The sequence below is a fragment of the Homo sapiens genome, chromosome 11 (assembly GCF_000001405.40).
Source record: "Homo sapiens chromosome 11, GRCh38.p14 Primary Assembly".
NCBI classification, from domain to species: Eukaryota; Metazoa; Chordata; class Mammalia; order Primates; family Hominidae; genus Homo; species Homo sapiens.
Window position 1 is genome coordinate 120,497,436 of NC_000011.10, and position 27,111 is coordinate 120,524,546.

Consider the following 27,111-nt stretch of genomic DNA (forward strand, 5'->3'; position numbering starts at 1 on the left):
GGAGGGTGGATCGCTTGTCACTTGAGCCCAAGAGTTCAAGACCAGCTTGGGCAACATGGTGAAACACCATCTTACAAACAATAGAAAAATTAGCTAGGTGAGGTGATGTGCGCCTGTAGTCACAGCTACTTGGGAGGCTGAAGTGGGAGGATCACTTGAGCCCAGGAAGCGGAGGTTGCAGTGAGCCATGATCTGCACTCCAGCCCAGCAATCAAAATAAAATAAAAAATAAAAATATTAGCTACAACTTAATGAGTACAAACTATGTGTCAGGTGCTGTACACTACATACATGACTCCTGTCTTCACAAAAACCTCATAAGGTAAGTGGTTTTTCTCCATTTTTACAGAGCAGGTAACTGAAGCTAGTAGTGATTATGATGTTCCCAGTGGCACAGCTAGGATTCAAGATAAGGTCTGTCTTCCACCAAAGCTTGTCTTTTTTACCCGGCTGCAGAAATAGTTTCTGTACTTAAAGGTGTTTACAGCCTAGTAGTGACAAGTACATGAATATTAATTTTCTGCTTTTCTCCCTCCCTAAATTGCAGTTATCTACACTGGACTAAGGGGCAGAAATTCTGAGAAGTTTGCATTCCATTCAAGGTGTTTGATCTTGGGAATGACTTGAACACAACTAAACATTTAAAGAGATTAACTCAGCAGCTGAATTATGCTAAAGTAGAATAAAGCAGGCAAAGGAGAGTTGGGAGGCAGGAAGGCTAGCAGAGTGATAATATCTGAACAAGAGGCTTACATTTGGTAAAGTAGGAACAGAAAGGGGAAAAATGGTGTAGTTGAGGTAGAAATTACAGATGTTAGCATGTAAGTTAATATGTAGCATAAGGAGAGGGAGGAGTTTAAAAAACAAGACTTTCTGTGAACCAAAGAGATTGATTAACAACTGGGAAAGCATAGAGCAGAGATAGGCTTTGAGGGGAAAATCAGTGTAATTTTGGCCATGTTGAGTTTTAGGTAGCAGTGTTGTCTCAACTTACAGATGTCTAGCAAGATGTGGCAAATACAGTTCCAGAGCTAAATCAAGTTGTCATTCGTGTTGTTTCAGTTGGATTAAGGACATAATCCACAATTGTGTGCATAAAATCTGTGTCATAAAATCTCAGAATTGAAAGTACTTTAGAGTCTGTCAACTGATTGGGGAAACCAAATGTGGTATATTCATATAGGGGAATATTCTTTGCCCTTAAAAAAGGAATGAAGTACAGATAACATGCGACATAATGAATCTTGAAAACTTTATGCTAGGTGGAGAAGGCGGTCCCCAATTGTATGGCCACATATTGTATGATTCCTTTATATGAAATATGTAGAATAGGAAAACCAATAGAAAGTAGATTAGTGGTTGCCAGGGACTGGGGAGAGGGGAGGGTGTTCATGGATATTTGGTAATGAAAAGATTTGGAATTTTTTCAGGGGCGGTGGCAAAAATGTTCTGGAATTAGTGGCAATGGCTGTATGACCTTGCAAATATACTAAAAACCACGGAGTCGTACACTTTAAAATGGTGAATTTTATGGCATATGAATTATATATTTTTTAAGTGGAAGAAAAAAAGTACCTCAGAGATCACCTACTGTGTCCTCATACTGAGTGACTCAGTGCCTTTGTCCCTTCTCTACTCACACTGGAGATGGGTGAACATCTTCTGTCTTAGGGAACTTATCTTTTTGCCCAATAACCCATTCTATTTTTTTGAGACTTCTAATTGGTGTATGTGGCATAGTGGGTAGGAAGAATGGTCTCTCGACATCAGAAAGTGCTGGCTTTGCCACTTACTGACTTGCGTGACATTGGGCAAGTGAATTTCGTTAAGCGTCAGTTTCAGCATCTGCAAAAACTGAGTTAATAATAGTACCTTCCTCAGGGTTGCATTGACGAAAATGAAACAATGCACGTGGCGTGCCCAGCAGCTAGTAAATACTTTATATTCGGTCATAATTAGTCTTTTATTTCTTGCTTGCCCCTCACAATATAAAATACCTCATAAGAGGTCAGTTGCTACACTTTGGTTTGTCTGTTGTTTGTTTTTGAAACAGAGTCTCGCTCTGTCACTCAGGCTGGAGCGCAGTGGTGAGATCTCAGCTCACTGCGACCTCCACCTCCTGGGTTCAAGCAATTCTCCTGCCTCAACCTCCCAAGTAGCTGGGATTACAGGCATGCACCACCGTATCCAGCTAATTTTTGTATTTTTAGTAGAGATGGGGTTTCGCCATATTGACCAAGCTAGTCTTGAACTCCTGACCTCAAGCGATCCTCCAGCCTCAGCCTCCCAAAGTGCTGGGATTACAGGTGTGAGCCACCACAACTGGCCAGTTGCTACACTTTGTTTTTTGATTTCCTCATAGTCCAAAAAGTCTACCGCGTACAGGAACATACGGCAAGGACAGTTGGGATAAGCTGTGAAAATGTATGGTTTTTTTTTTTCTTTAAAGAATCTCAGTGGGATCTACTGATGCGTTGACATTATGCCAACTTGCCAGCAATTTCGTTTTTCCCTTCAAGATGTCTGTGAACAGTGTGGCAAAAGAGATGAGGCGCCTTGGGGTCTTAACTGCACGATGGCCGGCAAGACACCAGGGAAGCTTCATGTTTTCCCTCCACCTTCAGAGATGCAGTGATACTGAGAGTTGAGAGCAGTTTTATTTAGCATCAGGCAGCTGGGCTGACCTTTCCCAGCACCCCCATGCTCTTTGGTAACTAAAGGTAGAAAGAGAAAGACCATTTTTTAAGTATGTGAACATAAGGAGGAGTCCCTTCCTAAATTCTTGCTGTAACCTCCAACTTCTTATCCTTGTTTTGGCTAAGATTAGACAAGTATTATGAAGTGATATGACACCAAAAGGCTAGACAGGAGAGGATTTATATAGATTCAATCATCTAGAAGATTTGGCAATTTTTTACAAGCCATTTGTTTTTTGTTTCTTGGTTTTTTTTTTTTTGAGACAGAGTCTCGCTCTGTCGCCCAGGCTGGAGTGCAGTGGTGCGATTTCGGCTCCTGCAACCTCCGCCTCCCAGTTTAAAGTGATTCTCTTGCCTCAGCCTTCCGAGCAGCTGAGACTACAGGCGCCTGCCACCACCCCCGGCTGATTTTTGTATTTTTAGTAGAGGCCAGATTTCACCATATTGGCCAGGCTGGTCTCCAACTCCTGACCTCAAATGATCCACCCACCTCGGCTTCCCAAAGTACTGGAATTACAGGCGTGGGCCACAGCGCCCGGCCAAGCTACTTGTTTTATTAGGTGTCCAGTGCAGTCTTGATGTTAGCTGAAGATGTTTGGGTAATCTCTTGTATCGCTTCATAAAACAGCATAATAAACCCAATAGTAGCAGCATTCAATAGCTTTGCACCAAGGAAATGTTCCCTCCCACCTCTCATTCCCTCTGCTTCCTACTCCCCAATCCCTACCTCAAGCCACCTGCTGGGCAGCTGGAACCACAAATCACCAGCATTACTTCCAGAGGAATAAAACAGCCTACATCCCCCACCCCCCCACCCCCGTCCCCGCCTGCTTTGTTTTTAGCTGGTTTGTTTGTTTTCGGATGTCAGTAATGTGAAGTATTTCCCCTAATCAATGTTTTAACCTTCTTGTTGATATTTATTCAGCTTGGTTGAATGTACTGTGTTAAAGCATCCATGAGCTCTATGCATGGGAGAGTAAATCTGAATTTCTCTCTTTTCTCTGGAGACATCATAATATTTCCTATTATCAGAGGATTGTTTTGCTAGGATATTAATGAGCAGTTTCTCTGCTGGAGTTGTCATTGCTTCCCTCTTCCTTCAGCTCCCAAACAATTTTGAATTAACATGGAAACCAAGTTTAATTTCTTGACTCATCTCCTCTGGCTTTGAATTTCCTTTTCTGTTTCATGCTGTTGTCAATAATTTGGTGCTCCCATCTGTCCATTTCTGCTCACCATGTTATTGATAATGTGATTAACCCCCTACTCCATTGCTATTTATTTAGTGATAAATTATTTCTGATCATGTGTGCTATATTTTCTTTACTCAGATCTAAGGTATAATTAGGGAAGAGAGCTGAACAAAATAACCTTTTTTTCCCTTCTCTTACCATGGTGTTGGGTGAAACATGCTGTCCAGCAGGTCCCTGTCTTTTATAATGGAAGGAGAACGTGCTTTTATATGCAAATCCAGATGTGTGATGGTGGTTTGTTTACCTTACTTTGTGCTTAATGAGATTCTCCAGATATTGTTATGTTGAAGTACTGCTTCTATTTTTATTATCTAACATTTATTAAATGTCAACCATGTGCTCTGTTAAACAAAGAATAGCACAGTTCTGTCTGGACTCAGAGTCTAGATGCTTAGTTTCAGCCCTAGTGACTAAAACCTGTATAATGGACGGTGTATGTTATCCTGGGGAATGTTTTCCAAATATTGTATTTTAAAATGATAAACAATTGGACCCTGCCCCTGGGAGAGACACATCTGAAACAAGGCACATGTATAAAACAAGGCGCAGAATAAGAGAGAGAAAGATACAGTTGAACTTACTTTAAAAGTAAGATTGATTTTTTTTACCTTAATTTTTACTCTTGAAATTTCAAGTGATAGGTTGAATTTTCCAGCTGTTTTGATTTCACCTATGTTTTCCATTCTACAAAGAATGTTTTGATCTTTTCATCTGGCCCAAGGCAAAGCTGGTGACTTGGCTCAGTTACAAGAAAAGAGCCCGGAACCTTACGGAGCAGGAATGTAGATTTTAGCTCATTTCAGTGGCACAGCTTGGTTTGGTGAATCACTTTGTACCTCGGATTCTTTATATCAGGATGGTGGTGGGGTTGTTAAAATATAACTAGTGGAAGGGGAATATTTTGATTTCAAATCAGAAAATACAACTTAAAGGCTCATAATTTACTACTAAATAGCTATTTTCAGCCAGGCATGGTGGCTTATACATGTAATCCCAGCACTTTGGGAGGTTGAGGCAGGCAGATCACTTGAGCCTAGGAGTTTGAGACCAGACTGGGCTAGAAAGTGAGACTCTCATCTTTACAAAAAATCAAAAAATTACCTGGGTGTGGTGGCACACCCATGTGATCCAAGCTACATGGGAGGCTGAGGCAGGAGGATTGCTTAAGCCTAGGAGTTGAAGGCTGCAGTGAGCTATGATACTACCGCTGCACTCCAGCCTGGGCAGCAGAGTGAGACCCTGTCTCAAAACAAACAAATAATATTAAAAATAAATACAAATTTTCTTATCTTTGAAACGAGGATAACACAACTCAGGGTTGAAATGAGAAATATGATGATGGCTGTGAAAGCACTTTGTAAACCATGATGTGCTTTGCACATTTATCCTCAGAATGCTTACTACTCATTAGTTCAAATTTATATATAAGCTCTACGTCCAGGGCCGGGTGCAGTGGCTCACTCCTGTAATCCCAGCCTTTTGGGAGGCCGAGGCAGGTGGATCGCTTGAGGTCAGGAGTTCGAGATCAGCCAGGCCAACATGGCGAAACCCCATCCCTACTAAAAATATAAAAATTAGCTGGGTGTGGTGGCGGCTGCCTGTAATCCCAGCTACTGGGGAGGTTGAGGCAGGAGAATTGCTTGAACCCAGTAGGCAGAGGTTGCAGTGAGTCAAGATCATGCCACTGCCCTCCAGCCTGGGTGACAGAGCGAGACTCCATCTGAAAAAAAAAAAAAATAAATAATAAGATATGTATCCAAATGCATTTACTTGTGCATTCGGATTGATTATGTTGTTAATGAGTAAGGTGCAGAGGCAACAGTGTTGAGCTGAGGACTGGAATTAGTGGGGACCGCCACTAAGGGAGTGCACAGGGGAATGTTGCCTGTGTAGGTCTCACTGGAGTGAGCTGGTTCTTGGGGAATGGAACCACACCAGCAAAAATCGAGGACAGTGCCTGCCACCTAGGAGCCACGGAGTAATTGTTCACTACCTTCAACTGATGGTTGAAAACACAGTCCTGGGAGTAGCCTCCAGTATTTAATAAACCTTTTCTCCCTTCCCCCACCCACTTCTTTAGCCAACTACACCATAAAACAGACCCTTCTATCGCTACCAAAAATAAAAATCTTGTCTTTGGGGTTGGGAGAGATAAGACTTACTTGGTTATTAACTGTATAGGTATTTGTATATAGGTATTTTCAGCTGGGTCTACCTCTTCAACTTTTGTTTTTCAGTTTAATTTCTCTATTCCTCTTTCCCAGCCAAATTTTTAAGTCAACCATACACCTCAACAGGGGGCCTAATTAATTAGCATTTTAAAAGCAGTGTACTCCCTCAGAAGGGTGGAGGGGGAGGGTAGCTTGGAGTCAGTTTGTATTCAGAAGAACAAGGTATTATTGTGTGTGCTGGATTTTTTTTTTTTGAGACGGAGTCTAGCTCTGTCACCAGGCTGGAGTGCAGTGGCGCAATCTCAGCTCACTACAACCTCTGCCTCCCGGGTTCAAGTGATTCTCCTGCCTCAGCCTCCTGAGTAGCTGGGATTACAGGCACCCGCCACGACGCCCGGGTACTTTTTGTATTTTTAGTAGAGACACAGTTTCACCATGTTGGTCAGTCAGGCTGGTCTCGAACTCCTGACCTCATGTGATCTGCCCGCCTCAGCCTCCCAAAGTGCTGAGATTACAGCGTGAGCCACCGCACCCTGCCGTGTGTGCTGAAGTTTACCCAAATGCTTAATGCTGGAAAATGCTTGAAGAAAACCATCCTTCCTCTGGCAGGAGGTGCAGTCTGACATGGAAGCATAAAGCAATATATAGAGACACGTTTTCATTTTTACTCTACTTACTGTTTTCATTCCTGAAAGTATATGCATGTGTGTGTTACAAGAAGTCATTTTAAAAAACAAACATGATGTTCATCTATTCAGATTGGTTTTATTTTGGAACTGTCTTCCTCTCATGTAAATGTATCCTTTTTAAAAAAGGCCATTAATGCTATTTACCTAGTAACACTTCAGTGTGTCAATAATATTACTTTTGTCAATAGAGCACTTAAGTAATTATTGCCTTTTCTGGTATTAAGTATCTTCGCTGCATTTAAAGAAAAGCACCCATACATCTAAAGAAAAAGGTCCAAAAACATAAGGCAAGTTTTTACTTTCAACAATAAGTGTTACATTTCTCCAAAGATCCAAATTTCCTTTTAGCCTTGGGCCAAGAAGACAGACTGAGAGAATCCAAGAATTTACAGATGGAAGTTACCTCATTCAACCTCCTAATCTACTGCTGGAATACCCTCTAGGGCAGCCCTGGCAGATGGCCATCCATCTGCTTGTATACTTCCAGGGCTGGGGAGCTCATTATCTCCTGAGGCAACTCATAAATTCTTTCTTATTTGAGCTAAAAGTGGCCTCTCTGTAACTTCTTTTTTTTTGAGACAGAGTCTCGCTCTATCGGCCAGGCTGGAGTGCAGGGCACGATCTTGGCTCACTGCAACCTCTGCCTCCCGGGCTCAAGCAATTCTCCTGCCTCAGCCTCCCGAGTAGCTGGGATTACAGGTGCGTGCTACCATGCCCGGCTAATTTTTGTATTTTTAGTAAAGATGGGGTTTCACCATATTGGCCAGGCTGGTCTCGAACTCTTGATCTCAGGTAATCTACCCGCCTCGGTCTCCCAAAGTGCTGGGATTACAGGCATGAGCCACCGTGCCCGGCCGCCTCTCTGTAACTTCTATCCACTGGTCCTGGTTGTGGAGCAACGTAAGAAAGATCTTAAGTATTTGAAGATAGCTACTACATTTCCCTTTTGTCTTTTCCGAATTAAGATAACTGAATTGTTTTAAAATGAAGATTTTTGCCTGGAATCTGGAAGAACAAGATGGAAATGAGTGTATGTTAACTGTTGTTATAAAGGAAACCTTTGTTATAATTGCAGCTCACTGGTAAGGTATCTCTTCTAGTATTTCACACTTGGGCATAGCCTCCTATATAATACCCCTCTTGAAAGTAACCTATCCCTTACTGAGCTACGAAGAGTAAGAAGTCCCTCCTGGGTGAATAGAATCTTATACCTTTTGCTATTCTGAATTCCTTAAGAGAGCCCAAATTCCTAAGCATTGCTCTGAGATAAAATTTAAAGGTTTTCCTTTAGGAGGGAAAATTAAATGCATGAGTCTGTATTCTTTTTGACAGTAGAAACCATGGCCAGTTTTTCTTTCTGTACCCTATAGTGTCTAATACTATGCTGTACCTGGCAGACAGAAGCTGTACAATAAATTATTGCTCTATTGCATGATGCTGAGTTACACATATGATGAGAGATATATGTATCTATGAAGTACATATATACAGAAATATGTATACACATATAGACATATATGCACATATGTATATGCACACGCTTTTTTGCCTTTGAATGCCTTTATAATATCCCTGTGTTATTTCATAATAATTTATAGGAATATTTAATGCCAGTCTTCAGACAAAACTATACTCTAGATAAATTGCAAACCCCAGACACCTGGGGCAATATGAAAACTGCCACCTTATTTTCGATATCCGGGGGTGGTTTCATTGAGAAGACAGATCCTTTTCTCTGTACCTTCCATTGCTAAGTGATTGTGCTTTGCTCCCAGGTAGAAAATGCCACTCTGTTCCTCCTCCTCCGACCTCTTCCTCCTGTTTGAGTGGATTGTTTCTTCAGTTGCTCTTATTGTTGGAAGTGGTGAAGAAAAACAGTAAAAGGATGGGGGAAAATACTGCGGCTTTAATACTTGCTTAACATTTTACACAGCTTGACTTTCATAGTGATCTTTGACCAGTGTCTTTCATGCAGCCGGAAGCCCTGAGTTTTAGCCCAGTTTTGCTATTTCCTGACTGAGTGGTTTGTATCTATAATGTCATGTAATGGAACCTACCTGGACCAACTATGAAAATCAAATGACGAAAGATGAATGTGAAAGTATAAAGCTTATCACAAGTAAAATCCCGCTTTTAGAGATGTAAGCATAGTACCCCTACTATGGTGGAACTGGTTAAAGCCTTTATTTGTGCAAATGAGCAGCAAGTCCCCTTTCCCAGACAGGCATGGCCATAGTGGAAGACTCCCGGCTACAATGCAGGTCTATGGAAGATTCAGACTGAGAATTCTGAGTGCATACCCAAGCCTCTGTGTGCTAAAGCCCTTGGCTCCAACTCTTGAGTTGCCAAAAGTTGCACGCCCCTTCCCCTGCCTCCATCCAGACTGTCAGACTAAACTATGACCGTGTAACTGAGTTAATTGCAAAATGCCATAAAGAACATACCTGATGTCAAGTGGACCAAAACTGTTAGAAGGAAAATGTAGTGCCTCTATAACATCTTTTACTTGACTACCAACGCTAAAGGGACCAGCCCTGGATTTGTCTGGTTTCCTATTTTGTCTTTGGTGCCTGGCACATAATAGGCACCAAAGATGTCTTGAAGAACTATTGTCACAGCAGCTTATCTCCTCTGCAGAATAGCAAGTGGAAACTGAGACACGTGGTAGAAATGAATTAGGTTCTCACATGAGGGATGGGAGCAGGGCTGCGGAATGAGAGGCAGGTTATATTCTGATTAAGGATGATCTAAATTTTTCTTTTAATTTCAATGCGAGCAGTATTCTTTACACCTAGACTAATAAATGAGACAAGAGACATTGCGGGGAGGGAGCTGTGTAATAATATAGTTGTCAAGTGGGGATGGGACCTTTTAACATTCGATGTAGTATTTGCAGCCAGCTGCGTTAAACAGCATGCTGCCATGAGACTTGGGGACTATGTGAACCACACACACATATATGTTTGCTCTTTGCCAATACTTGCCCATAATATCACTGGGCAAAACCACTGCTTACTGCATCCTTTAAAGCATGAGTAAACATCGAGAACATTTCTCCTTCTAACTCACTTCTGCTTCAAAACTGGTTCTGTGAGACATCTGCTGTAAGAATGAACCATTTATCCTCCAAACAAGTGACAAGAAGAACACAGAATTTATTTTCTTTTAATCTGGAGTTTAAGTACTCCGATAGGACTGATGAATTTTAATAGTCTTGCAATATGATATATAATCAGGCCCTTGCTTCCTTCAACCTAAGTTCCTCAAATGTGAACCCCAGCTTCAACTTAGGTTGTAAAGACTTTAAGCTTACCAAGGGCACAGTTTCATATTTGCCAGTTAGGATTTCATCTGACTCATCTGGACAAATGACAGGAGCAAATCCGATTTGCCAGAACTGTAGACCTCATTAACCCCTTCTCTCTATTGGTTTATCCATTCAACACATTTACTAAGAATCTCCTATGCCAAGCACTGTGTGGTTAATAGATTTTTTTTTTTTTTTTTTTGAGCTGGAGTTTCATTCTTGTTGCCCAGGCTGGAGTGCAATGGCACGATCTCAGCAACCTCTGCCTCCCCAGTTCAAGTGATTCTCCTGCCTCGGCCTCCTGAGTAGCTGGGACTACAGGTCCCATGCCACCACGCCCGGATAAGTTTGTATTTTTAGTAGAGACAGGGTTTCTCCATGTTGGCCAGGCTGGTCTCAAACTCTGACCTCAGGTGATCCACCCGCCTCGGCCTCCCAAAGTGCTGAGATTACAGGTGTGAGCCACTGTGCCCGGCCAGAGATTTTTTAAAAAGCCTATAGTCTAATTATGAACTTGAGATGAACCTTCAAGGGACCTTTGGAAAAGAAATGGTAGGTAAATTTAAGATCAAATATCTGATTTGCGGATATACCTGAGGCAAATACAAAGAAGGGAGAAGCTAAAATATAAATCCAGGAGAACAAGCTCACAGTCTATTAGTGAGAGCAGACGTGAAACAAGTAAGTGACCATAAACTCTAACAAGCACAAGAGAGATCCCGAGAAGGGAGTAATTACTTCTGTTGGGAAGGGACTAGATAGCCAGGTATGATAAACTTCTAGTAGGAGAGGTTCCCAAACAGAATTCTGAGCGGTTAATAGGAACTTGTGTATCAGTGTGTATGTGGGAGGTAGGGTGGGGACTCTGGGCAGAATTCAGTGTGTTAAAGGCACAGAGGTATGAAATGGGATGAGCAGAGAACTCAGTGCTGCTTGGTACTGACTGAAGGTGAGATGGACAGAAATGGATGATGGGTGAGGTGGGGAAGTAAGCAGGGAACTTGTATGCTGTGCTAAGAAGTTTTGGACTCGAGGCTGGGTGCGGTGGTGCACGCCTGTAATCCCAGCACTTTGGGAGGCCGAGGCGGGCAGATCACGAGGTCAAGAGTTGGAGACCAGCCTGGCCAACATGGTGAAACCCCATCTCTACTAAAAATACAAAGGTTAGCCGGGCGTGGTGGCGGGTGCCTGTAGTCCCAGATACTCAGGAGGCTGAGGCAGGAGAATCGCTTGAACCCGGGAGGCAGAGGTTGCAGTGAGCCGAGATTCCGCCACTGTACTCCACTCCAGCCTGGTGACAGAGGAGTGACTCCGTCTTAAAAAAAAAAAAGTTTTGGACTCAATATGAGGTCATGAAGGGGTTTTCAGCAAGGGTGTAAAGTGGTGAAGCTTGTTTTAGAGACATCACTCTGGCAGCCATTTGTAGACATATTGGAGGGAGCCAATTTAAAGGCAGGGAGATGAGCTAGAGGGCCGCTGCAATAGTTTCTAAGACATGGTGACATGATATGATATGTGCCACTCAGCAAGGTGACAACAAGTCACCTGCTCACCGTGTGCCTCAGCTGGCCCCATTTATGCAGAGGGATCATTATGAATGTGTGATGAACCTTCAAAGGGACCTTCGGAAAAGACATGGCAGGTACATTTAAGATCAAATATTCTTCTTAGTGGATATACCAGAGGCAGATAGATGGAAGAAATTAAAGATAAATCCAAGAGAACAAACTCCTTCCTGTGCGCTCCGACCACCATGGCGCCCAAGCACAATGAATCCTATCCGTCCTGCACAGCATAGCAGCTGGCTGTGAGGGATGTTTCAGATGAGAGGTTCTAGAGGTGGGAGCCCCATTTCCCAACCCTTCTGTTTTTTCATTCAAGGCAGCAGCCTCAGAGTAGATCAGCGGGGCCAGCCTCGTGGCCCTCTGACATTCTCCCCCTGTGGCTTCCAAAAAAGATCTGGACTGACCTTCCCACCCCTGGAGCTGAGCTTGAGAAGTCAGCTTGCCTGGAATTGAATTTTTTCAGTAGTAAAAAAGGTGGAGAGCAAGTAGTAAGTATCCCAAAGAACTCAACATCTTGCAGCAAGGGGAGACAGGAGAGTGGGTGGGGGCAACCAGGCTGAGGCTAACAGCAGACTTCTGTACCGGCAGACTTCGCTGACATTGTTGTCCACCCTGTGACTGGTAGGGACTCCCTGCTTCTAGGGGCAGAGGCCTTAAGAAAGGAAAAGAAAGTCAGAACCATTCTTGCAAGAAGGGGAGAAACCAGGGCCCTCAGGAGGCCACAGCCAAGACTATCTCCAGAGCCATCAGCAATCTCTCTGACCTGCCAAAAGCTCCTCCCCGCTTCCCTGGTTAATAGGATGAGATCACCAGGCAAAAGAATATGATGAAGCATTTCACTTATATAGTATTTTTCTTTCCAAACACTTAATAAGCCTCTCTGGTCTCGCTGATCTTGCATTCTTCCCGTGAAAGGGGCCAGGGATCCATGCTTGGCATTTCAGAGTTTGCGCGGCTTGAGAGATCATCTAGTCTGCTTCCCTCACTTTTAGAGTTATGGGAACTGAAGTCCAGGGAAGTGAAATCGCTTGCTGGGATCACAGGGATGCCTCTCCCTCCTCCCAGCCCCGTACACTTTCTGCTAGGCTTATGCTGCTGTTCCGTCCATTTTGCACAAGAGAGGGGGTTCCAGAGTGGGGGAATAGAGTTGGAATTAGAAATTAGTTTTGTGTCACTGGCTTACAGGTGCTCTTAAACCTTAACAGGTTTAACATCCTCTGTAAAATGGGACTAGTGTCACCTCAACACCTACCTTGCAAAGTTGATTATTGGGAATCACACTTGTGTAAGCGGTATAGTCTTGGCAAACAGTAGGTGCTAAATAATGTCTGGCTGGAGGAATGGAGCCCTGTTCGCATATGGCATTCATCCAGCCAGTGTGTGGAGCTGGGGGAGGGATAGGCACGACTCCTGAAGCAGGAGGCCCAGTACGCGCCCAGGCTAGCCAGCCAGCCCTCCCCGGGGAATGCAACGTCCAGAACAGTCTATAGTCCCGATAGTATGCCTCATGCGTGAGACCTGACCAAGGACGTCTGTGAACAAACCCTTCACAGAGAGCTTAATGAGATTGTGGGAGTGCTGGTGGTTGGGTGTGGGGATACAGGCCATTGAAGGTGAGAGGGCCGGTGTGATCAGTTTGGTGGTCTGCCCAAGACAGAGACTCTGCGGGTTGGATAAGAGGGAGCTAATAGGTTTGAGGGGGTCACGTGTCCCTTGCCCTCCCTCCTATTCCCCCAGGACTCCCTCTTCACCCAGCCTCCTCCTAAGGGCAACTCTGTTGTATTAGGATGAACCACACGGTGTACTGAAATGAACCGCGCGTCAGAAAGCGGGGTTGCCTCCTGGGTCCTGCCACTTGCTCCCCGTGTGTTCTTGGCCTGGTCCCTTCACCTCTCCTAGCCTCAGGATCTTCATGCGTAACATGAGATCCTCCCAAGATGTTGGTATGTATACAACAGTGCTCTGGAATGACTCCATGCAAGCTGTTGCTCTTCAGTCTCCTGAACAAGGTGCTCTTGTCTCGTCCCATGAAACCTCCACCTCTCCATCTTCCGCACCACTGAGGCCGCAGTCTCTTCTAACGGGGCACGCTCGTCCCCCGCGCTGTTTCCCGAATGCCACCAGGGGGCGCCCCTTGCTCGCTGAAGCCGCCGGGCTAATAACTCCTCGGGGCCGGGGCGGGCTGCCCCTTTGCGCAGGGCGGTGGAGTGTGCGGGCTGCGCCGGGTTCCCCACCTGAGGTCCGTACCTCGCAGAGCCCGCTTGGCCGCGCGCCCCTAGCCTCTGCCGGGCGCCGCTCCCCAGCCGGGCGCCTCTCGCTCGGCCCCGGGCCCCCGGGCAGCCGCAAGTTTGCCCCCGGCCGCGCGGACCCGCGCCCGCCCTGCCCGCAGCAGCCCCCGCCGTTCCCGCCGCCCCCGCCGCCCCCGCGCCTGGGCTCCCGGGCGACGCTCCGAGGGGCGCTGGGGGGCGCGTGCAGCTGCCCGCGGGGCTCCGGCCCGGCCCCGAAGGGGCGCCCCCCCGGCCGGCCGTGCGCGGGGCCGCAGCAGTTCCCCAGCTGCCCGCCGGGCGGCGCCCCGCGCCTCGCTGCGCTCCTCCCGCGCTCCCCGCGCCGGGCTCGCTCGCAGCCGGACACAGACTGCCTTCAGCTGCGGGCGGATCGGGCTGGAGCCGCCACGGCTGCTGCGGAAGAGGAAAAACGGCCAACAGCAGCCCCGCGGCCGGCCCGGCAGCGCCCGGCCCCCGGCTCAGCCCCCGGAGTGCGGAGCCGACCAGGTAAGGGCAGCGGCCCCCCGCGGCGCCCCCGGCCCGCTCCCTGCGCTGCCCCCGCGCCCCCGAGTCCCCTCCGCGCTGGCCCTTCCCGCACCCCGACTTCTGACGTCTCCGCCGCTCCTGCCCTCGGGGGCCGCGGCCCCGCACCCCTGCCCCGGCCCCCGCCCCCGCGCCCTCCTCCCCGCTCCCGCCTCCCGCCAGCCCGGTCCCTGGCACTTCGGTCCCTGCGTCTCCAGATTCGCCGCCGAACCCCCCACCGCTCTGCTCCCGTAGTTCCTCCAGTCTTCACCCCGGTCCGTCTCCCTCCCTCCGCATCCCTTCCCCGGGCTCGCGGTCCTCCCGCTCTGGTCCTCCCCCTCCCCGTGCAACTCCCAGCCCTGCCTCTGTCCCCTGCAGGGATGACAGCCCCTTCCCAGCCTGGCGCGTCTCCCCTACACCTCGTCACCCTCCGCTTCTCCCAGCGCCTCTGTTCCCCGGCTGCAGCCCCCCATCCCGGCTCAGCCTGGCATCCCACCAAGCCCCCTCCCCCTTTCCTCACTGCCATCTGCCTCGACTGCCCCCTGCCCCTGCACTGGACTCGGGCCACCACCACACCCCCCCACCCTGCACACCGCCTTGCTTGGGGGAACCAGCGTCCTATCAGAAATGATCCTCTTTCCCGGGGAGAATGGGGCTCCCACCCATCCCACCCTAGTTCATCCGAGTGGGAAGTGAGGGAGAAACTCTAGAGACCTGCAATGGGCGCGTGATGGGGGAGGGGGCTGGGGCGGAGGGGGAGGGGAGCTGATTTAGATTCTCTTCAGTGAGGACTGGCAGAGCTGTGCGCTCCGACCTGGCTGGGGTGGAGGGCGTGCAGGCGACAGCTGGGACAGGGGGTTCAAGGCACTGAGAGCACCTGTGTCTCTTTCCCTGGCTCCCTTGAGCTGAGCAAAGTGAGGGGAGGAGTTGGAGCCTGGGGAGAGTTGGCTGAGGGCCTTGGGGTGGTGGAGGAGGCGGCCGAGGGGGCTGGGCCCCGGGCGCCTCTGGCCCGTCTGCCTGGCAGTGGTGGGGCAATGCGGGCCGAGCCACTCCCGGGCTGGACCTTGGGCTGCGTGGCTCTTGGCATCTGTACTTGATGCTGCCATCTTCCTCTTGGTGCTGTTGTCTGGTGATGCCACGCGGTGCCACCTCCCTGCCTCCCTCCAGTGGCTCTCCTGGGCATGTCTCCCAAGGGTCTGGGTTGTCTGGGAAGAGGAGGGGAGCTCTGAGCACAGCTGGGCCCTTTTGCCAGGCAGTGGGCAGCTGTCAAGACCAGGCCAAGAGGTCTGAGGGCTGGTCAGGAGGACTGAGCCCTGCCAGGAACAAAGAACTACCTTCACTTTCACTCCCTATGGGTCACCTGGTTGGTAGTGACACTTCTAGGAGCACCGGGAAACTGCGGGCGTGGTATCTCCGGGGAGAGAGGCCGCCTGGGTTGGTAGTGGGCATCTGAGAGACAAATCCGGTCCTGCCTGACTCCCTGACTGTCTGTGCTCGCGTGGTCAGGGGCGAGGGGCTTGTCGAGGTCCACTGTGTTCCGGTCCCACCAGGGATGGCAGCCCCTGGAATTCCACTGGGCGTCATCATGCTGGCTTTATTTGCTGAAGCTGCAGCTCAGGCTTCATCATTAATCAGGTTTATTATTTTTCTCACTGGCCAGATGTGTTCCTCAAGGTCACGACCCTTCGGAGAGTTAATCTAATATGCACACATTACAGTGTCTGGGTTTGTTTAATTTTCCATATTTTGTTCATTCCTTGTGGCCCGGGCTTGCCCACCAGCCTCCCGCCTGCCTCACCAGCTCCACCCCTCTGTCCTCCTCTGGACCTGCCACCTGAAACCCAGAGGCAGCACTGGTCCCTCCGGGTGGGGAAGAGGTGGATGCTCGGGAGGGGAGGTTGAGAGGGGATCTTGGTTTTCTGTGTTTTTCCCATCCCCCTACCTGGGCATCTTGATCGGTGGCTGCTGTCTTCCCCAGCAATGAAAATTCTTCCGAGAGCCTGGGTCGGCTTCGTGGTCTGATTTCCACTTTGGTTTTCCCTTAGGATGGAGAGGGAACTTTAGTACCGGGAGAGAGGCAGAGACTCTAGGAGAAAGTCCCAGCTGCAGGGAGTCAGGGCATCCAGGAGAGAGGAGCTCAGCTGCTTCTGAGGTGGTTCTCAGCCATCCAGAGATGGAAGGGAGGACAGGGGGACCGGCCCTGGGTTGGGGGAGAGACTGCTCAGAAGGCAAGAGAAGCAGCGAGGCGGAAGCTGGCCTTTGTGTGGCTGGCGAGGGTGGGCAGCGCCAAGCGTGTGTGGGAAGGATGCATCTCTTGGTGCTTCTGCATAGTACTAATCCCTTATGTGTGTATGGGGTTCTGCAGCATTCCAGATGCCTCTCAGAACAATTACTTCATTTGATCTCTACTACAGCCCTGCAAGCATCTGATCGCTCCTTACAGACAGCCTTATAAGGAGGCATTCATGACCCAACAGAAACTGAGGCTCAGAGAGGCTGGATGCCTCATCCAAGGCTCCACAGCTGGGTCCCAGGCCCCTGGACGCTCAGTCCAGTGCTGTTGGGCTCGTTGCTGTTGCTTTTTAAGGTCTCAGCTGTTTGGTTCTCAGAAAGCCCACCCTTGGTCCTGCCTGTTCCTCAGTTCATCCCCTTCGCCCTCTCCAGTGATGGCTCACCGTTTTCACCCCCACCCCAGGCCTGGTGGAGTCTTTGCTCTGTAGTCTCCTCAGCCTTAGACTGGCTGCCTGGGTGTCCCGCCACTCCCTAGACCCAACCAACCACCCCCTACCCCAAGTGGGCACTGCCTCTTGCCTCCTCCTTGTGGAAAGAACGGCTGGGTTCCCCCAGGCATGCAGCCGGGGTGCCTGGGGCACCCTCCTTCCCTCTCTCTGGTGCCTTAGGCCTCAGCCCACTCAGTTCTTCTGGGCACTTCGAGTGTCCACTCCGACCTTTGCTCTCCCACTGCCGTGGTCCCTACTTGGGCCTTTGGCTGTTCACCCTGAGTTACGGTCCTGAAAGCTTCCTTGTTGGGCCTCCAGCCTCAGTTTCCAGCCATCCTGCCGCTGTGCCTGTCTTCTTACAGAGGGTAACGCTTCTCACAGGGGACCCTGTCTCAGCAGCCGTCAGTGGCAGTGCCTTCCAAGATGCCTTGCAGGTGAAGGCCCTCTGCACGCTGACCCCAACTTTATGTCACAACGTGGTGTCTGGCATGATCTTGTCCCCCCTCCCCTGGCCACCCAGCCCTGGCACTGTGTGTCCTCACCCTGGCCCTTTGCATTTCCTCCTCTTTTCCTCCCATCCATATATTGCCCAGCCTTCAAGGTGCTGCTGGAAGAGGAACCAGTTCCAGCTACCAAGTATCAGGCAGACCTGGGTTCCTGTCCTCACATCACTCCCTGCATGACCTCGGACAAGTTGCCTCACCTCTCTGAGCCTCACTGCCCTCACCTGTAAAATGGGGACTCTGAGCCTCACTGGCCTCACCTGTAAAATGGGGATAAATCTCACCTGCTTCAGAGGGTTAGCAGCATGGAATGTGAGTGGGAGTGTGACTCGTCCAGTGTGAAGGGCACCTGCATGGGTATGGAGGGCACATTCTCTGAGTGGCCGCCTTCTGCTCTCCCTCTGTATGGGCTGGCTGAGCCCCCTGCTCCTACCTGGTATTGGTAATCGTCTGTCCGTTTGTCTCCCCACCCAGAGGGCAGATTCCTGGAGGAGCAAGGCCTTTGCCTGACACCTTTTCACATTCTCTGACTCCCAGCAGAGCGAGGCTGTTCTTCAACATCCTGTAAATCGGCCCTCTTCATAGTAAGGACATAAGATATAGTTGTTGCTTGATTATAACGTTCTGTTACATAAAATAGGGTATGCCTTACATTTAGTAAATCCAGTATGAACAAAAAACTTATGCCACAGTTGCAGGCTGGGTAAATTATGGGAAGGAAGGAAGGAATCAATGTAACATTGTATTGACTGCGTACTCCGTTTGTTTCGCTCAGTCAGTCCAGCTACCCGGCGAGTTAGCTGTGGGCATCTCCTTTTCCACAGATGAGGAAGGGAGTCCCAGGAGGTCACACACTCTGTCCCACATCCCAGACTGGTGAGTGCGGTAGGACCCCAGCTTCTTCCCCTACACTTGGGCATCCTCTGCCTTAAAAACCAAGAGGGAGACACTTTTTGATTCATCACAGGTTTTCTTTAAACAACTGAGCACTCAAGTCATTTACACAGAGCCCAGCAGGGATGGGGCGGTTGTGGAGTCCCCTGTTTGGGGGGTGGGCAGGACCCTTCTCTCCCACAGGGTGATAGTTTGGGTGGATAGCACACCAAGACACCCGGTCTCTGGGAACATGGCGTGTGTGTTGATTGCACCTGCCACCAGCATTCAGACCTGGCAGGAGCTGGCAGGGGTGCTCAGGAATGGGGGAAGGAAGACTCACAGTGAGGAGGCTGAGAAGGGGCTGTGCAGGCAGGATGAGGGGAGAGAGGATGATCTGAGGACTGGGCGCTCGGGCACAGGACGAGGCAAGTGGGAGAAGAGTCCCGTGTGCAGCAGAAGGCTGGAGTCAGGGAGCAGCGGATTGTCACGGTAGACGGGGTGGGTAGAACTGCTGGAATCCAAGAGGGCCCTGGCCACCAAACAGAGAAGGCTCAGGTCAGTGCAGCAGGCTCGGGGGAGCCGGTGAAGATTCGTGGGCAGAGGAGTGCTGTGCAGAAGCGCGGGTTGAGGGCTGGGCCTGGGCGCTGGTGACAGTGAGGCGAAAGGGGGGTAAGCTTGAATGACATTTTCAAGAACAGCAGAGCGCGCTGACAGATTGGATGCAGCAGATGAAGGAGCCGGAAGTGTCAGAGATAACTTTGAGATTTCCAGTGCTGGAGACCAGGGGGATGGGCGATGCGAGGGGAGTAGGGAAGCCGGAGGGGGAAGCAGGTCTGAGGGAAAGCTGACAGTGCGTGCCTGGATGCGCTGTGCCTGAGGAGGAGCCTGGAGCCATCGGGGCTCACCCTGGGCGGCGGCTGCTGCGTTCCTGGGCAGCAGCCACTGTCTAGTCTTGTGCAGGAACAGGCCTGGGGCGCGTGCTGCCGGGGGCCAGCTTAAGGCATCTCGCGTGCCTCAGTCTCACCTCCCCAGCCTCCTGCCAGCCCTCGCCGCCCTCCCTCCACGGTACCCTCGTGTCTGATATTCACTGCCCTGGAAGTTCCTCCGTCTGTGCCTGTCACCGCCGGGGACCGAGCGTGGAGCTGCCATCCAAATGGGCAGGGCCTTGTCCGCTTTGTTCACTGAGCTATCCCTAGTGCTTGCATAGAACAGGTGTTAAGTCAATATTTGTCCCATTTAAGGGACCTCAACTCATGTTTAACAGACACTTGTTACAGAGATAAATTCAGAGGCTGTGGAGGGTGAAGAGCAGCCAGAGGGGCTGTGTGGCCTTAGGCTTCCGGGAATGGGGTGTCCCAGGCTCCTTGGTGCGATCCTCTCCTGTCCTCAGTGTCCAGCCTCTTGGTGCCCGCTTGTGTTGTCAAAGTGAGGCTGGCATCGTTTGCCCCAGGGAGGCCATGGGCAGGCCCCCTGAGGCAAACGGTGCCCCCGCCTGTGCACCCCTGACTTCCGCCTAAAGTTGGAGAGCAGGGAGACCCAAGTGGTGAGGGTGATAGCTGTGCTACGCTGCGGGGTGTTGGGAGAGAGGACGCAGATGCCTGAGTGCTGAGTCACAGTGGGCATCTCGGGAAGGGGACAGCTGGGAAATAGAAGGCCGGGCTAGGATTGCTGCCTCGATTTCCGCCCTATAAACAAAGGCATAGAGTAAACTCTACTTCACGGAGCTCCCAGTTGAGTGTGATAGTCCTGTGAAGGCCCCCAGGAGGGAGTGGGAAGGGGCCGGCCCCTAGCACAGAGGAGTCGTAGTGGTGGCCTGGGAGCGTGACTAGGGAGTAGACACAGGTTTAGAATTGGAGTTTAAGGGCCAGAGTTAAAGAGGAGGATTTAATAGAATGAGAAATCAATAGCCCAGAGGAGGTTAAGTTGTGTAAGTGAGAGGCTGACTGCAAGGCACGCTTAATGAAAAAGAAAAGTTTAAGAAGGCGTGGAAGATAGGGCACATCTGGAGGCAGGGGAAGCCGGTATTGGCCGGTTTCTGCTCTCCCTGTTCTCCAGCCTGGGGAGGCTGCTGAGAAGGGAGGTTGTGTTCTGGGAGTGAGTGAAGGGCATTTCCTGTGTCTCCCTCCCAACCTCCATTGCTCCCCCTGAGGCTGTGTGGTGCAATGGTTGGCCTGGCCACTTCCAGATCAGGTACATAGGACAAATCCCAGCTTTTCCAGTTCCAGCAGTGCAACTTTGGGCACAAAGCTATGCAAGCCCACCCTGGCCTCCATGACTCTCGGCAGCTGTGCTGAGCACGAGTCCGTGGCAGCAGTGGTTATTAGTAGTTATTATTGTGTTGCATCCTCATAGTGTCTCTCCTAGCCCAGTCCGGTTCCTAAGACTCTACGGAATAGTGTCTCTAGCAAGGCTGGTGAAAGGATGGGGATTTGGGAGGCAGCAAAGCTATATATATTTTTTTTAATCAGAAAAGTCTATAGTGGGTTTAGTCCAAGCCCCAGAGAGACGAGGGGCCCAAAGCCCAGGGTGTTTAAGTCACTTGTCCAAGCAGTGTAACGGGAGTGGCAGAGCTGGATCCAGCATAAGCCCAGGGCTCCAGGCTTCCCAGCCTGTGTCTTTTTAAAATTTTTTAAATATTTTGAGATGGAGTCTGGCTCTGTTGGCAGAGTGCAATGTGCGCGACCTTGGCTTACTGCAACCTCCGCCTCCCAGGTTCAAGTGATTCTCCTGCCTCAGCCTCCTGAGTAGCTGGAATTACAGGTGCCCAATACCACCCCCGGCTAATTTTTTTGTATTTTTAGTAGATACCAGGTTTCACCATGGACCAGGCTGGTCTCAAACTCGTGACCTCAGGTGATCCGCCGGCCTCAGCCTCCAAAGTGCTGACATTATAGGCATGAGCCACTGTGCCTGGCTTAGCCTGTGTCTTTTGCTGGGTCTTGTGGCCCTGCCTGCAGGAGCGAAAGTGCTGGAAAAGAGATGCTTCAACAAATTGTTTGGTCCAGTTGCAACATCCAAACAAAATCGGTCTAGAACTAAGCAGGCGGATGATTTTGATTCTTTAAGGCACTAGAGCATGGGCTCTGTGGGGGCACGGATAGGGCCTTGTGCTTTTGTCTCTAACACTAGGCTGACACATAGCTGTGAATTCAACAATGATGATGACAATAATAATAGCTAATAAGTATTCAATGCTTATTATGTGCCAAGTACAATGCAAAGTACTTTCCATATATTATCTTAATCTTCCTAATAACTGCTATGAACTGAATGTTGGTGTTCCCCCAGAATTCATGTTGAAATCTTAACCTCCAAGTGATAGTATTAGGAGGTGGGGCATTTGGGAGGTGATTAAGTCATGGAGCAGAGCCCTCACGAATGGGATTATGCCCTTAAAAAGAGAACCCGCAAAGCCCCCTCACCGCTCCCACCGTGTGAGCACACAGTGAGGAGGCCCATCTATGAACCCAAAAGCCCTCACCCGACACTGAATCTGCCAGCACCTTGATCTCGGGCTTCCCCGCCTCCAGAACTGTGAGAAACAAACTTCTATTGTTTACCAGCTACCCAGTTTATGGTATTTTGTTACAGCAGCCCAAATGCACTATGATAATAACCTTAAGTTTATTATACCCATTTTACAGATGAGGAAGCTGAGATTCAGAGTAGATGATTCATTAGCCCAAAGTCCCATAGCTGGTAAGAAGCAGAGTTGAAATATGTACCCAGGCAGTGTGATTTCAAGCTCTAGTGGGAAATCCTTTGTGTGCATGCATGCATGCTTGTGGGTGCACAAGTGTATGTGAAATATGCACTAATCCCTCCCTAATTCCTAGATTCTACCTCTGGCTACCTCACTACTGGTTTTTTTTTTTTTTGTTTTTTTTTTTGTTGTTGTTGTTTTTTTTTGAGACGGGGTCTTACTCTGTTGCCCAGGCTGGAGTGCAGAGGCGCGATCTTGGCTCATTGCAACCTCCGCCTCCTGGGTTCAAGCGATTCTACTGCCTCAGCCTCCTGAGTAGCTGGGATTCTAGGTGCCCACCACCACACCTGGCTAATTTTTGTGTTTTCAGTAGAGACAGGGTTTCACCATGTTGGCCAGGCTGGTCTCAAACTCCCGGCCTCAGGTGATCCACCCGCCTCAGCCCCCCAAAGTGCTGGGATTACAGGCATGAGCCACTGCGCCCAGCCTACCTCACTACTGCTTCTATATTTCTGTTCCTCATCTCTTAGGCAAGGAGGCCAATGCTCATTTCCAGAACCGGCACCCTCAAGCCCCAGTCCCAGCCCGTCCAGCCATCAGCAGGCGCGGAGAATGAGTGGTGGCGCCTCTATGCGTTTTGGAACTCTCCTTCCCTTGGCCTGATTTCTTCGATCCCTGAGTGAGAGGGTCACTGGCAGTATTGGGGAAGTGATTAGAGAGCCACCTCCTGAATCACGTGCCATTCTTTTCCACCATGGAGGCCATCCAGGGAAGGGCCCGGTGTGGAGGCAGGAAGAAGGCAGCGACATAAAGCATTGAGGAGACCCTCTCCTGAGCTGCCGAGTCTGAGCACTGATTAGTGCTCAGGTGAGACAGGACTTTAGGAGGTTAAAAGCAGTCCTGCCCCCACTGGACCAACCAGGGTTGTGTCCACTCACCACCTCCTCCAAGGGCCTGGCTGGCTGGCTGGCCTGGCTGCCCCAGGTTAATAGCCGAGGATTAGAAGGAGTGGAATCTGACTGGGGTCTTGGACTCTCAGCAACAGCAGCAGAATAGGGAGTCTCTTTGGAAGAAATCTGATGGTAGCATTGTTAGACTCATGGTCGTTATTGCTCCTGACAGCATCTCCCCTAGCCTAGTTCAGTTCCTAAGATGACAACAGAACAAGGTCCCTAGCATGGCTGATGATGGGATGGAAACTGGAACATCTCTCTTTTTGGAGGCAGCAGAGGCATCTTCAGAATTAAAGAAGACAAAAGTGGGTTTGGGCGGGGCACGGGATATGCAGAAGACCCTGTAGAGTTATTTCCAGGTGGGAGGTCAGCACAACTCTGCCCTTATGCTGAAGTTGCAATGCCATTTTCTTTTTTTGTTTTGTTTTGTTTTGTTTTTCGTTTTTTTGAGACAGAGTTTCACTCTCACCCAGGCGAGAGTGCAGTGGCATGATTACAGCTCACTGTAGCTTGAACCTCCTGGGTTCAACTGATCCTCCCAATAGCTTGGGACTACAAGCGTGCACCACCATGCCTGGCGAATATTTTGATTTTTTGTGGAGATGGAGTCTCACTGTGTTATCCAGACTGGACTCAAACTCCTGAGCTCAAGTGATCCCTCATCTTGGCCTCCAAAAGTGCTGGGATTACAGGTGTGCGCCACCACGCCCGGCCCACAATGCCACTTTCTGATGGTAGTCACATGCCCAACGGCTTATTATGTTCTTGGTGATTTGTGTCCTCTCCCCCAAAGAGCTCACAGGGCCACAAACCTGAGAGACAGGAGGGCAGTTAAAATTATTGTCCCAGACTCTCAGAATTTCAGTAACTAGCCGAAAGCCACATAGTTATTTGATTGGAAAGTTGGATCAGTTCCCAGGACTCCTGCCCCTTGCCCAGGGCTGCATCTGCCACCCTGTGCCTTCCAGTTTGTGCGGTGGTAGAGGCAGTGGTCCCTGGGAACACCTGCTATTCCCAAGGTAGAGAATATCACACGGAAGAAAGCAGCACTTGTCAGGTAATGAGAACGCCTGTTGTATTGCTGGGAAAACTGAATGAAGTCCAGGGAGGTTAAATGAATCCTAGAATCTTATTCTTGAAGTAACTCGAGATCATTGCATTTGACGTCCTACCTGAGCTTCTATTATCTCCCGCGGGTGGTTATCCTGCCTCGGCTGCTGCCGCCTTCTGCTCTTCTTCCTCTTTCTCCATTTTCCCCTTCTTCTGAAAGCTGACATCATTGAGCACTTACCACCTTCCAGGCACTGTTCTAGATGCTTTGTATGTATTAAGTTGATTCTCCAGCCAACCCTATGAAGTAGGTACTGTTGTCCCACTTTACACATGAGGAAATACATAACCACAGAGGTTATGTAGCTTGCCCAAGATGACACATGAGCCAAGTGATAGAGCCGGGATATGAACTAGGCAGCCTGGGCCATGCTCTGGAGTGATCCTAAGGCAGGCCATCGCTGAGTTGGGCAGCTGTGAAACGAGGGAGCACATGAAAGCACCCAGTGCCTTGCCCGGCGTAGGGAATGTGCTCAGTCAATGCAAGTGACTTCTAAACATACCAGGAGGTTTTACCTTAGACTGAGCCAAATTGATTTCCCATGGGTCTTTTTTTTCTTTCTTTCTTTTTTGAGATGGAGTCTCGCTCGGTTGCCCAGGCTGGAGTGCCGTGGCGCGACCTCAGCTCACTGCAACCTCCACCTTCCGGGTTCGAGCGATTCTCCTGCCTCAGCCTCCTGAGTAGCTGGGTCTACAGGTGTGTACCACCACACCCGGCTAATTTTTGTATTTTTATAGAGACAGGGTTTCACCATGTTGGCCAGGCTGGTCTCGAACCCCTGACCTCAGGTGATCCGCCCGCCTTGGCCTCCCAAAGTGCTGGGATTACAGGTGTGAGCCACTGCACCTGGCTCCCATGGGTCTTTGTTCTGCACCCTCCTTGGAACCCCATTCCAGCCTTCTGAATGTGAAGCTACCTAATGAACAAGAAGCAAAGCCAACTTTCAGTCTCCTTCTACCTCAGTTTCCAAGACCCTTCCCCAAACTGAAATCCCCTGGCCAGGAAGACAACAGCCTGTGGGCCTAGAGAAATGTCCAAGGCTGGGACCTGCCTTATGAGGGAGATAGATCCTTGGCCACAGGGCTGCGCTGAGGGTTGTCACACATCCGTTCTTTAGCATGTTTCCAGAGTGCCTCCTATGTGCCAGGCACAGCCACGGAGCAGCACAGCTGGCCCCATCTCAAGGCTGGGCCCTTACAAAATGTGTGCACAGACACCTGCTGAATCTGTCAGATGCCAGATTGGTGGTGGGGTCCTGGGGACAGGAGCCTGAGGACTAGGAGAACTGTTGCTTCTCCACTGCTCCTAGGAGGCTGGGTGGGGATGCAGACACCCCATCAGGGGGCCAAAATTTCAGCTGACCCAAATCTAAGAGCACAGAGTAGGCAACTAGATGGAGGAAGCTCACCAGTTTATTTGTGCTAAAATAGCATCAGCCGACTCTCCTTTGAAACGTAACGGTCCTGCCAGAGTCCAGAGTAAATAGGCCGGAACATGAGATCTGCCAGGTGGGGTGCAAATTGGCAGTAAACAAAGCAATCGGGCTGTCTGAGTAGCGGAAGTCAGCTGAGAAAGTGCATTTCTCCTGCACGGAGCTGTGGGGTGGCGGCTGCTGGGCTCTCTCTTGCCCTCAGCTCCTTTGGGGAGGGAAGTGGGAGGGGGTATGTCAAGAGCTTGACCCTGGGCTTTAGGGGTGGAGGAGGAGCCGACTTTTGTCCTGTATTCCTGGGCCAATAATGCTGCTACTTCTCTCGCTGCTTCTCCAGTTGCCATCCTGCGTTACTGCAGGTCCTCACACCAGCCCTCCACGGCAGGTCTTATTAGTCCCATTGGACAAGGGAAAACACAGATGTCCAGAGAACCTGAGACACCGACACAGGGTCACACAGCTGAACCTGGGCTTTGTGGTTCGGTGTTGCCCGGGTCTGCCTTCGTCTCTTTAGCCACTGCTTCTCCGTGTGGCCAGTGCCTTTCTAAGGAACTTCCAGCTCCCAGCAGGGGAAGAACCTGAGCAGCCCAGCTGGGAGATGATCAGGGTGGGGCTGGTAGAGCAAGGTCAGGCCACCCTTGGATGCTTTGGGGAGGTCATCAGAGATCATCATCTGTCTCCCCACAAGGCACGGGTTCCATTGCACAGGGACTGTTTGCTTCTGCATTCTTTTTTTTTTTTTTTTCCTGAGACGGAGCCTTGCTCTGTCACCAGGCTGGAGTGCAGTGGCACGATCTCGGCTCACTGCAACCTCCGCCTCCCAGGTTCAAGTGATTCCCCTGCCTCAGCCTCCCGAGTAGCTGGGACTACAGGCGCACACCACCATGCCTGGCTAATTTTTTGTATTTTAATAGAGACAGGGTTTCATCATGTTAGCCAGGATGGTCTCGATCTCCTGACCTCATGATCCACCAGCCTTGACCTCCCAAAGTGCTGGGATTAGCGGCGTGAGCCACCGCGTCTGGCCGTTTCTGCATTCTTTCCCCAACAACCAGAACAGCACTGGGTGCTCAGTATGCGTTTAGTGGGTGAACGGCTGCTTTGGTGAGCCGCTTGTCTGCAGAGGCCCTGGACTCTGGAGCCCTAGACTAGCAATGAGCCTTGACTCTGGAAAGCTTGGATGGGCCGCCTTCGACTCGCAGATGTATGGGATTGAAAAGTCAATTGTGTGATCTTAAAACACATTTCCCCTGGTGGATGACAGGACTGGTTTCTCAGGTTAGTGTAGCCGGCGATGGAGCTGAACCAGTACAAAGAGTAACACCAGGCCTACCTGGACCTTGGCTCCA

At 49.9% G+C, this 27,111-nt stretch overlaps 1 protein-coding gene across 16 annotated transcripts in view, besides 6 other annotated features; it reads left to right on the plus strand.

Annotated features, from left to right (window-relative positions):
• Positions 6,012-6,071: an enhancer, noted in NCBI's record as "active region_5637". NCBI's record gives its function as "activates an Ori minimal core promoter by ATAC-STARR-seq in GM12878 lymphoblastoid cells {active_cell/tissue: GM12878}" and the evidence as "EXISTENCE:reporter gene assay evidence [ECO:0000049][PMID:35858748]".
• Positions 6,282-6,341: an enhancer, noted in NCBI's record as "active region_5638". NCBI's record gives its function as "activates an Ori minimal core promoter by ATAC-STARR-seq in GM12878 lymphoblastoid cells {active_cell/tissue: GM12878}" and the evidence as "EXISTENCE:reporter gene assay evidence [ECO:0000049][PMID:35858748]".
• Positions 13,924-14,003: a silencer, noted in NCBI's record as "silent region_3992". NCBI's record gives its function as "represses an Ori minimal core promoter by ATAC-STARR-seq in GM12878 lymphoblastoid cells {active_cell/tissue: GM12878}" and the evidence as "EXISTENCE:reporter gene assay evidence [ECO:0000049][PMID:35858748]".
• Positions 14,184-14,383: a silencer, noted in NCBI's record as "silent region_3993". NCBI's record gives its function as "represses an Ori minimal core promoter by ATAC-STARR-seq in GM12878 lymphoblastoid cells {active_cell/tissue: GM12878}" and the evidence as "EXISTENCE:reporter gene assay evidence [ECO:0000049][PMID:35858748]".
• The window catches only part of GRIK4 (glutamate ionotropic receptor kainate type subunit 4), a 477,159-nt gene continuing 464,360 nt past the window's right edge, over positions 14,313-27,111 (plus strand). For all 16 annotated transcript variants that reach the window (NM_014619.5, NM_001440404.1, NM_001440403.1 and 13 more), the window contains exon 1: positions 14,313-14,452. The gene's annotated coding sequence lies outside the window, so the exon portion shown is untranslated. The remainder of the gene's footprint in view (positions 14,453-27,111) is intronic.
• Positions 18,822-19,424: an enhancer, noted in NCBI's record as "H3K27ac-H3K4me1 hESC enhancer chr11:120386966-120387568 (GRCh37/hg19 assembly coordinates)". NCBI's record gives its function as "activates a minimal SCP1, AML or CMV promoter by ChIP-STARR-seq in primed H9 embryonic stem cells {active_cell/tissue: H9 hESC(primed)}" and the evidence as "EXISTENCE:reporter gene assay evidence [ECO:0000049][PMID:30033119]".
• Positions 19,425-20,026: an enhancer, noted in NCBI's record as "H3K27ac-H3K4me1 hESC enhancer chr11:120387569-120388170 (GRCh37/hg19 assembly coordinates)". NCBI's record gives its function as "activates a minimal SCP1, AML or CMV promoter by ChIP-STARR-seq in primed H9 embryonic stem cells {active_cell/tissue: H9 hESC(primed)}" and the evidence as "EXISTENCE:reporter gene assay evidence [ECO:0000049][PMID:30033119]".